This window comes from Homo sapiens, chromosome 2 (assembly GCF_000001405.40).
Source record: "Homo sapiens chromosome 2, GRCh38.p14 Primary Assembly".
Taxonomy (NCBI): domain Eukaryota; kingdom Metazoa; phylum Chordata; class Mammalia; order Primates; family Hominidae; genus Homo; species Homo sapiens.
In genome coordinates, this window is record NC_000002.12 from 20,253,162 (window position 1) to 20,265,195 (window position 12,034).

General features: G+C 35.7%; 1 protein-coding gene across 48 annotated transcripts in view; it reads right to left on the reverse strand.

Moving 5' to 3' along the window:
• Window positions 1-12,034, reverse strand: part of PUM2 (pumilio RNA binding family member 2) — a 103,563-nt gene that overhangs the window by 4,471 nt on the left and 87,058 nt on the right. For 25 of the 48 annotated variants that reach the window (XM_047443807.1, XM_047443825.1, XM_047443806.1 and 22 more), the window contains 7 exons: window positions 10,032-10,299; window positions 7,176-7,305; window positions 5,082-5,210; window positions 2,872-3,009; window positions 2,055-2,180; window positions 1,702-1,823; window positions 661-853 (listed from right to left, as the gene is read on the reverse strand). In XM_047443807.1, the coding sequence (XP_047299763.1) occupies window positions 661-853; window positions 1,702-1,823; window positions 2,055-2,180; window positions 2,872-3,009; window positions 5,082-5,210; window positions 7,176-7,305; window positions 10,032-10,299 (1,106 nt within the window). Of the gene's footprint in view, window positions 1-660; window positions 854-1,701; window positions 1,824-2,054; window positions 2,181-2,871; window positions 3,010-5,075; window positions 5,211-7,175; window positions 7,306-10,031; window positions 10,300-12,034 lie in introns of all 48 variants that reach the window. The other 23 variants (XM_047443803.1, XM_047443815.1, XM_047443821.1 and 20 more) reach the window with 1 other exon arrangement.

Here is a 12,034-nt window from a genome sequence, read left to right on the forward strand (position 1 = left end):
TAACAGATGAGAAATGAATATGATTCCTTAAGAATTTCTTTTGAATGACTGATTTATTTTTTGAGACAGGGTCTTGCTCTGTTGCCCAGACTGGAGTGCACTGGCATGAACACAGCCCACTGTAGCCTCAACCTCCGGGACTCAGGCGATCCTCCCATCTCAGCTGCCTGAGTAGCTGGGACCACAGGCATGTATCGTCATACCCAGCTAATTTTTAAATTTTTTGTAGAGATGGGGGTCTATGTTGTCCAGACTGGTCTTGAACTCCTGGGCTCAAGTGGTCTCCCACCACAGCCTCCCAAGTAGCTGGGACTAAAGGGTTGCACCATGATGCTTGTCTAATTGTTTTTCTTTTTTTTTTTTTGTAGAGGGAGGGTCTTGCCACATTGCTCAGGCTGGTCTCAAACTCCTGGGCTCAAGTGATCTTGTCACCTCAGCCTCCCAATCTGCTGGAATTATGGGCAAAAGCCCCCATGCCTGGCCATGATAACCTTAAGCATAAAAATGGAAACCATACCAATATATCTGCCAAAGGATATCCATCGATTTTAATTTTTCCTCCAGTTATAACATACGGGAGGAAATGAAAGCCCAAGGAGGTTAAATGTGTAGCCTAAACACAAAGACAAACAGTTATCTGAGTGTTACATGCTGTATTACCTTGTGCATGATTATCTTTCTCTGAGCAGGTTCAGCCATATCAATCATCTTTTGAACCACGTAATTGGCATACTGGTCCTTCATCATGGTGTATAAGGCACTGTGAGGACCATCATTCTGGCAGCAAACCTCGTCAATCAGTAAAGCTCTCTCAGCACGGGAGGCATGAGTAACACACTTTTCTACTACATTGCTAAAAATTAAAGCAGATAAACAAAGATTTGTTATTTTTTTCTTCACAGCAAAATTTCCTTGACTTATAGAAAGAATCTTCTCCAATGAACAATAAAACAGAAGTCAGGATGGGATTCTCTTGTCTTATGATTACTTTTATTTTATTTTGTTCTTTTTTTTTTTGAGACAGGGTCTTGTTCTGTCACCCGGGCTGGAGTGCAGTGATGCTATCACCGCTCACTGCAGCCTTGACCTCCCTTGCTGAAGTGATTCTCCCACCTCAGCCTCCCCCATAGCTGAGACTACAGGCATGCGCCACCACGCCTGGATAATTTTTTGTAGAGAAAGGATCTCCCTCTATGTTGTCCAGGCTGATCTCGAATTCCTGGGCTCGACTGATCCTCCTGCCTTGATCTCCCAAAGTGCTGGCTGGGATTACACGTGTGAGACACTGTACCCAGCCAATTACTTTTATAACAGAAATTGGTATCTTGGAACAACCTACATCATTTTGACATCCACAAGTTTAATTACAGGTCTCTTAAAATTGTACTTCAAAAAAAAGGAAACCAGATCATTAAAGCTGTGAGGTTTTCAAGAAACATGTACTAAATAAATCTGCATTTCCAGTGTCGGGAGTAATTATTTTCCAAATACAGATTTCATAAATGAACATATGTGGGCAAAACAAATTTGTTATGTAGATTTTTTTAAAAAACAAAAGCAATGTTCTATAGGTGCATTTTAATGATACCAAAAAAAAAAGACTACAGTTTAATGCTACATGCTACACGTATTTCTGTGATAACTAATAAAAGTCAATGAGTTGAAAGAATTGACCCTTAAAATTACAAAGTATTACAATACCTGGCAAATTTGTGTTGACTCAGGGCTAAAACCTTTCCCCTGATTTCGGAAACAATTTTGCTCTTGTCTTCAGGTCGACCGTGTTCCAGTACATGCTGAATAACATAATTGCCATACTGATCCTAAGACAGATATTTAAAAATTACTTTCCCTAAGTCATTCCTTAAGAATGATATTCTTTAAAGACATGTTAATCATTTCATCTAAAAATCCAGTAGGATAGTTAGGAGAATACAACAGCCTTTTGTCTCACTCTTGTCTATAGTGTGTTTAGTAACAAATTGTATTTCTTTTAAAAATTAAAACAATTTCCAAAAATATATAAACATTTCAAATTATTAGGGAATTTATACCTGTACCAACTGCTCTGTATGTTGGTGGAGTTCTTCTAAGATAGGTAAGGTCTGTTCTGCAGTGCAATGCTCTAGGATGCGCTGAATTACTCTGCAGCCATAAGGATGAGTTGAAAGCACAAATACCTGAGGACAATTAGAAGAATTAAAATTTGTATTCTCTGACATTTTTGAACAGTTCTATGAAGCAGACTGGTTTGTTTTTTTTTTTTTTGACAACACCTAAAAGCAGTTTGAAATAGAAGGGTGATGAACTCACATTTAATATGACTACCACCATGTTAGAAAAGACTGGAGAGTGGGGACAGGGAGCACTCCATTTAGGAGCTGAAGATATTTTGATCAAAAGGAACCTAACCAGAACTTTACCTGAACCTGAGGTTATGTAACAATGGGAATGAATGGGTGAAAAGAGAAAGGGTAGTTCAGCATTAAGAAATATTAATTACTATGTATTAGTTACAAATTGCTATGTGTTTTCTGTCTTATTATACAGTCTTATGTCTTTCTCCAAACCTCCTTCCCTTCTCTGAGTAAACCTGAAAACATCGTTGGGTATAAATAAAAAACAATTCTAACAGTGATTACCTTTACTTCTTAAAGTAATGTGATTAAACTATTTGTTTTGCAGCTTCAGAAAAATGAAGCTATCTACTGACTATGAAAGAGGAAGAAATTAATGTACATTTACTGTTTTGTATCCTATTTTTGTATACAATTGCTGGGTATTATCTAGTGACTCATGAAAAACGTGTTGATATTCAAAATTCTAAAATAATGCCCTGCTAACAAATTATAAGCCAAAACTCAAACATACTTGTCCCTTGAAAGCATCAATGATGAACTGTAGTGACTGTGGCTGAACACATTCGATACATTTTTGTACAACATGGTTTCCATTCTGATCTTTCACACATTTGAGCACATGACCATCCAGCTCCTTTACCATTTCACTCTGCAAAAGACAGGATGTCATTTAAATTATTACCTCAAACGAGAAAATACTAGTATATTTTATCTCAGTATTAAAAATTAAAAATATTAAAAATCTCAGTATATTTATCTCAGTATTAAAAATACTGAGATGGGAACACAAATATATTCACAAATATTATTTCCTGTTTGTCAAGGGTTTAAATTTTTTTCTCTTGTAGTATAATTAGCAGAAACCATTGAAAAGTGAAAATTACTAAAACACACTGCAGGATTATAATGTAAATGATGTATGTTGAAACAACGTAGTGATGCTGAACTTGCTGTATTTAAACTGTCTTCACTGTGTAAATCATCCGCTAATATTTATCGGGCGGTAACTAACATGACTAATTCAGAATTACACACTTCCGCCTTACTTAGTACCACCTCCACCACCAAAGGAATTATTTTTAATGGCTGAGTGAGTTTATCAAGTACATAGAAAAGGCTAAGAAGTTGATGACTACTTATGGGCTATGATTTTTACATATTATCTCAATAATTCCCTAAGGGAAGAATTAATGTCAGGTATCTTTGTTCTTTTATAAAATGCTCTTATAATAAAGTGCTTATAGCCAGATGCGATGGCTCACACCTGTAATCCCAGCACTTTGGGAGCCTGAGGCTGGTGGATCACCTGAGCTCAGGAGTTTTGAGACCAGCCCGGGCGACATGGCTCCGATTACTACCAAAAATACAAAAAACTAGCCAGACGTGGTGGCGCATGTCTGTAATCCCAGCTACTTCGGAGGCTGAGGCAGGAGAATCACTTGAACCTGGGAGGCGGAGGTTGCAGTGAGCCAAGATTGTGCCACTGCACTCCAGCCTGGGCGACACAGCAAGATTCCGTCTCAAAAAAAAAAAAAAAAAAAAAAAAAAAAAAGAAATCCAAATAATATTGTTATTCATTAACTGTTTCAACAAAGACTTACTGCTAATGCTTTTATTTTTAAATATCAAAGACATTTTAAAAATATCTATACCAGTTAGAAACTTGTGGCAGAGAAGTTTCTAAGCTTTTAAATAATTAAATGTGTTTATATTTCTCCATTGTGACACACATTAAAATTACTGTAAAACTCAGAATTTCCTCTGGAGGAATAATAGTATTTTCTCACAGATTTTAATGCAGTGATGAATATATACACATATATAGTCATCCATCCATATATTACTATTTATTGAAATTTTCTTTTATTGTATGAGTCAAAGATAATCTCTTTCCAAACTTAAACTACCATTACCTTTTAAGAAATAATTATTTCCTTCAGTCTTATGCTTTCATTGTAATACATAAATCATGTAGTCAGAAAACAGTATTGATTTGGGGCTATAAATTTCTTATTAAAAGTCTGTTTAATCTTCTATACAATAACCCCACTAATTAGTGTTGCTTCACAGTGTATTTTAAAAATCTGGTGGATCAGCATTTATCTTCATCCCCTACTCTCAATATTCTTGTCTATTTCAAATGATTTTAAGCATTATTTTGATCAACAATTCCTTTATTAATGTGAAATATTTAGACTTTCCATCCAATAACACAGAATATTTCTCATTTAATTTACGTGTTCTTGTTTTTCTCAAAAAATTATAAATTTTTAAAGAGGAATCTTGAGTTACTTTTCTGCTGGGCTATATTTTTAAAAAAAACATTTTCATATATGTAAATAAAACTGACATATAGTAATGCTATTGGTTCCAAAAATTTTCTTCTTATAATAGAAACATTAGACACCATCAAAATAAGCACTGGAAAATAGTAACATGCATTCTCACATTGCAGAAAATCAAGTAAGCAAGTAGTAATAAAAACACTCATCATTTAACATTCTGCTTGCCACATAGGTGCTAAAATATCTTCATTTAGAAATTATCTACTTTGTGACTTCTAATTAGTAGTGTGCTATTTAGGACACAGTAACAACATTTTAGTCTAGTTGTGGAAATATTTAAGTCTTTTCACTTCAAGATTACTGTAAGATTAAAAACATGTAATAATTTAAAAATTGAATAAAATAATACAAAAATTTTGTCTTAACTTACAATTACCTGCTGGTCAGAAGAAATAGATTCTAATGCTTTCTGAATAACGCGGCAGCCATACATCTGCAAGGCTAAGGGTAGAACATGACCACGAATACGAGTAGCCAGGGCTAATTTTTGATCCAGACTCCCAAACTGACAGAAAAGATATAACATTAATAACAAGTGACCTTAATATTGCTTTGTTGAACTTGAGTAAGGCAGTGTTTGCAGTCTATTCATTCTATCAGTAACTATGTAGGGCAGGGGCTTTAAGGTAGAAGCTAATTAAGATAGACTGGGAAATGTTTCCAATAATAATTTTTTATTACTTCTTTGGGTTAAGTCTTACTAAAATTTCCTTGTTACTAATATGTTAACTACCTTTTAAAGAAACACTCTTTTAAAGTGAACATCTTTACAAAACCCTTCATCTTTTTTTTTTTTTTTTTTTTTTTTTGTTGAGACGGAGTCTCGCTCTGTCGCCCAGGCTGGACTGCGGACTGCAGTGGCACAATCTCGGCTCACTGCAAGCTCTGCTTCCCGGGTTCACGCCATTCTCCTGCCTCAGCCTCCCGAGTAGCTGGGACTACAGGCGCCCGCCACCGCGCCCGGCTAATTTTTTGTATTTTTAGTAGAGACGGGGTTTCACCTTGTTAGCCAGGATGGTCTCGATCTCCTGACCTCATGATCCACCCGCCTCGGCCTCCCAAAGTGCTGGGATTACAGGCGTGAGCCACCGCGCCCGGCCAAAACCCTTCATCTTTAATATATAACTTTCTTAGCCATACGTTGACCACCAAAACTCTTCACCCAGATAATCATCAAACTACATTCTGATATGATTGAGGAAAAAACTGTTAAAGTCATTAAGCTACAACACAGATGCTTATAAATTTAAAAATTGGCTAAACTGTAAAATAACACACATCTATAAATCCAAAGACTATAGTGTTATTCATTAACTACTTTACCAAAGATTGACTACCAATGCTTTATATTTTCAAATATGAATCAGGATTAATAGCAAATTTTCATTTAAAGTGGTTCATGTTAAAATTTTTTTTGTGACAAACTGCCATTTGAACCATTTTTAGCTAGGTGATTGAGTAGCATTAATTATATTCACACTGTTGTGCAACCACCATCACTATCACTATTTGTTTCCAAATCTTTTCCGTGGCCTCAAACACAAATGCTGTATCCATTAAATGGTAACTTTCTAAACCCTTCTTCCTCTAGGCCCAGTAACCCCTAATCTACTTTATGCCACTATTAGTTATTCTAGACATTTCATACTGGTAGATCACTATCAATGTTTGTCCTTTTGTGTGTGGCTTGTTTCACTTAAGTTAGTATTTTCAAGGTCCATCCATGTTGTAGTATGTATCAGAACGTCATTCCTTTTTATGGCTGAATAATATTCTATAATGTATACATATACCACTTGTATTTATCTACTCATCTGTTGACGGACACTTGGGCTGTTTCCGCCTTTTGGCTATCGTGAATAATGGTGCAATATATACTGGTGTTCAGGTTCCTGCTTTCAATTCATTTGCTTTCAATTGTACCCCTAGGAGTACAATTGCTGGATTGTGTGGTGATTCAATATTTAATTTTGAGAAACTGCCAAACTGTTTTCCATAGCAGCTACACCATTTTACATTTCCACCAGCAATTTATGAGGGCTCTAATTTCTCCATATCCTCATCCACATTTGTTATTTTCCGATTTTATGTTTTCCGATTACAGTCATCTTAGTAGGTATAAAATGGTATCTCATTGTGAGATTGATCTGCATTTCCCTGATTAGTAAGGATGTTGAGCATCTTTTCATGGCCTATGTGGCCTTTTGTATTATTTTACATAGAGAAATGTCTGTGCAAGTCCTTTGTCCATTTGTCATTTGGGTTGTCTTTTTGTTGTTGACTTTTTAGGAGTTCATTACAATATATCCTGGATAAAATGTTTACCGCATATATAATTTGTAAATATCTTATCCCTGGCTTATTATCTTTTTTTATATGAAAATGACTTTACCCAACTTTCAGAGCTTTTCTTAGCATCAAGTATACAACAGCTGGATGGGCGGATATACAAATATGCATGAATCCTTACCTCAAAAAACTTCTGTATAACATAGTTGCCAAAAACATCAGTCATTAATTGATAGGCTGCTTGCAGAATTTCATTAAATACCATCTGTCGCTCAGCTGGAGTAGCTCTCTCTAGTTTTTGCTGTATGAATCTACATAGGGAACATTTTTAATATGACAATATGTTTTTTAATACACTTGAGTATTACACCCTACCCTTCCACATATATGCACTGCAAGTTATTTCCATAAATATTACCATACTTTATATAGTAGACAGCTAACTTACAGCAAAAAGGACAAAAGTTATATAGCATTTCTTTATAACACCTTATCTAAAGATAGAGTGACAAAAAACCTGGATATAAAGATGTTTAATCTTTCTTAGGTTGGTTACATTATAATCAATAAGAAAATTACGTAAATTTTGCTGCTTATTCATTTATTTTTCATAATATACAATGTATTACTAAACATCTAACTTTTAGAACATAATAAAGGAAACCCTTAGAAGTAAAATTCATCCAACATGAATGAATTCCTAAGCAAGAAAGCCATTCTGGGTGACACAAGGCTCATTTGTTACTCTGAAGGAACTACCAACTACAGTCATGCACTGCTTAACCACATTTCAATTGACAACAAGCCACATATACAATGGTGGTCCCATAAGATTATAATGGAGATAAATTCCTATTGGGTAGGAACTGTCATAACATCATAGTGCAATACGTTACTCAGGTGTTCATGATGACATAAACCTACTGCACTGTCAGTTTATAAAAGTATAGTATGGCCGGGTGCAGTGGCTCACGCATGTAATCTCAGCACTCTGGGAGGCAGAGGTGGGTGGATCACCTGAGGTCAGGAGTTCGAGACCAGCCTGGCCAACATGGTGAAACCCTGTCTCTACCAAAAATATAAAAATTAGTTGGGCACGGTGGCAGACGCCTGTAAGCCCAGCTACTCAGGAGGCTGAGGCAGGAGAATCACTTGAACCCAGGAGGCGGAGGAGGTTGCAGTGAGCCGAGATCATGCCATTGCACTCCAGCCTAAGCGACAGAGTGAGACTCTGTCTCCAAAAAAAAAAAAAAAAAAAAAAAAAAAAGTGTAGTACATATAATTGTGTACGGTATCTGATAATAAACAACTGAGTTACTGGTTTGTGTATTTAGTATACTTTTTATTGTTATTTTAGAGTGTATTCCACTTGTTTAAAAAAAAAAAAAAAAGTAAAACACCCTCAGGTAGATTTCAGAAGGTATTCCAGAAAAAGCACTGTTATCATAGGAGAGGACAGCTCCATAGGTGTTGCTGCTAAAGATCTCCTAGTGGAAGAAGACATGGAGTTAGAACAAAGTGAAACTGATGATCTTTACACTGTATAGGCTAATGTGTGCATTTGTGTCTTAGTTCTTAACAAAAAGTTTAAAAAATCTGTAAACAGAAAAAGTCTCATAGAATAAGCATACAAAGGAAATATTTTCGTACAGCTGTACAATGTGTTTCTGTTCTAAGCTAAGTGTTATTACAAGTCAGTAAGTTAAAAAAAATTAAAAAGCTTAAATGTTACAGTAAGCTCAGCCTGGCAACACAGTGAGACCCTGTCTCTACAAAAAAATTTTAAGTAATTAGCCAGGTGTGATGGTGCGTGCCTGTAGTCCCAGCTATTCGGGATGCTTAGGTGGGAGGACTGCTTGAGCCCAGGAGGTTGAGGTTGCAGTGAGTGATGATCATGCTACTGTATTCCAGCCTGGATAACAGAGTAAGACCCTGTCTCAAAGTGGGGAGAAGTTACATTAAGGTTAATTTATTATTGAAGAAAAAAAGTTTTAAATAAATTCAGTGTAGTTGAAGTGTACAGTGTTTATAAAGTCTAGAGGAGTGTACAGTAATGTCCTATGCCTTCGCATATACTCACAACTCACTCACTCACCCGGAGCAACTTCCAGTCCTGCAAGCTCCATTCACATTAAGTCCCCTACACACGCATATGATTTTTTAATCTTTTATACTATAGTTTAACTGTATCTTTTCTATTGTTTATTATGCGTAGGTATACAAATACCATTGTTACAAATGCCTACAGTATTCAGTACAGTGACATGCTGTACAGATTTGCAGCCTAGGCGCAATATACAGAGTAGGTGTGTAGTAGGCTATGCCATCTAGGTTTGCATAGGTACACTCTTTAATGTTCACACAACAACGTATTTTCTAGAACGTATCCCCGTCATTAAGTGATGCATGACTGTATAGGGAGACAAAATTTGTACACCATCTAATCTAAAATGACTTAAAAACTTGAGGTTTACCTTAAAGCTATAAAGAGAGAAAATATCTTAAATTTATCAAATGTGTTACAATTCTATTTTCCTTTCTAAGCTATCTTTACAATGTTAATTCAGATGTATCTCTCATGTATTACATTCGTTTTAATGTAAAAAGGCACCAAATTTTCCTATAACAAATGTGAAATGTTTCAGTCTAAGCCAAGTCACACTGAATACCAACCTATAATGCAACACAAAGGCATTTAACATTGTTTGCTATATTTTTTAAACACACCATGAGGGTCACTTAAGCCCACAAATGTAATACAGAGCCGATGTAATCAAAATAATCCAATGGAGGGGGCCCTGCTATATTCTCATCATAACAATATTCTCACTGTAAAAAACTGGAAAACTATAAAAAATTAAAACCCGTATTTTTATAATTTATCCTAACATGAAAGAAAAAACATATAATCCATATTGAATTTTAGCTCTTAAAAGCTTCCAACTTTAATGCAGACTAAAGTCCAGAAAAATTTAAGCTTTTATAAGGCAGCAATTTTCAAAGCAAAAATGAAGTGAGAAATATCATAATCACCTACCTAGAACCATGCTGGTCTTGAGAAAACTCAACTATATGTCCAATCAAGTCTCTAAGCTGAAGGTTTGGGAAGCGGTTGTTTCTGAAATCTTCCAATAATCTACTGCGGCCAGAAGGCATAATATCAGACCTATTATACCGAAGCCGGGAAGGAGGAAAGAGCTGGCTGCTGGAGCTAAATAGACTGGAAGTGCTTGAAGCACTTCGATATTTTGCTTCTGCTCCAGGTGCTGCAGAGATATATCGACCACTACCATTTGTCAGTCCTCCTACAACAAAGCAGCTATGGTCAGCAAGTATTTTTGACAAAGTTATTCCTCAAATAAAATTTACTTTAGCTACAAATTCAGTCAATAAAGAAATATTTCCCCCCACTAATTCCTACTTGTTATGACAGAAAATTAAAATTGGGAGGGGAAAATCTCACCCATATACCTCATGTATGTGGCTATATGATAAAGAGACTAGAAAACATGAGAAAAATAAGTGTGTATTTATTCTTCAGCAGCTTAGTTTAAAACTTAATTATATGATCTAGTGTCATATGCACTCATAAATGTCAGAACACTGAAACTACCAACAAAATTTTCAGTTACATTAACAAGCAAGTTTAAATTGCTAGCAAACTTACATTTTAAGCCACTGAAATAGACTGAAATTCATTAGCATTATTAACACAATAACATTGAATGTTAAATCTCTAGTTTTTGCATTCGGTCATATATACTTCTATGTAAAAATAAATCAATTCTTACCATCATACCACTGATGGTATGAACTTTAAAAAGCCACAATATTAGGTAATAAATCTAAATTATACACTATTTTAAGATTTTAAAATTTTTATTTAAAATATTTGACATAAGGTTGGGCGTCGTGGCTCATGCCTGTAATCCCAGCACTTTGGATGGTCGAGGAGGGCGGATCACGAGGTCAGGAGTTTGAGACCAGCCTGGCCAACGTGGTGAAACCCTGTCTCTACTAAAAATACAAAAATTAGCCAGGCGTGGTGGCGGGCACCTGTAATCCCAGCTACTCAGGAGGCTGAGGCAGGAGAATCGCTTGAACCTGGGAGGCGGAGGTTGCAGTGAACCAAGATCACACTACTGCACTCCAGCCTGGGTGACACAGCAACACTCTGTCTCAAAAAAAAAAAAAAAAAAAAAAAAAAAAAAAATATATATATATATATATATATATATATATTTGACATAAATCCACTATTTCACAAACAATAGTATTAATAAACAGCAGTTATTATTCCTAGAGCCTTATCATTTACAATAAATAAAAAACATTTTTAACTTACATTCCGTTCCAAGAAAGAAAATCAAAGAGCAGTCAATAGAAATAAAAATAAATACATGCAGGAAATTTTTAAAATTACAATTAACAGTTTAAAAGTACTTGACAGTGTCCTTTTAAAAAAGAAAAATGTATAGATAGTTGTAAAATACACATTAGTAGAGTTCAGAAAAACAAAATCCACTACCAGCATCATGCTATTATTATATGCAAAATCTATGCAGAGTAGTACTATATATACAATCCAGGCCACAGGGTAGAGATGGTCCCAAGGATACACTGTCAGTGCAAAGCTATACGGAGGTATTAAAGGTCGAAAAGGACTACAAGGACAGAGAGCAGTAAAACAGTCAAATCCTGGAGAGTAAATTGGGTTAGAACATTCCTCTTTCACTTTCTGTCCCTACTGTCCTAGCTTTACTTTTTTTCATTGAACTTCCTATTACATAGCATATTATGCATTATTTATTTGAATCCCCAGCCCCATCTCCAATCCAAGAGCCATAAAATTAATTTACATGCTAGCTACCTGGTGCCTGGAACAATGTCTAGACCAGCCTGACCAACATGGTGAAATCCCACCTCTACTAAAAATACAAAAAAAAATTAGCTGGGCGCGGTGGCGTGCACCTGTAATCCCAGCTACTCAGGAGGCTGAGGCAGGAGAATCGCTTGAACCCGGGATACGGAGGTTGCAGT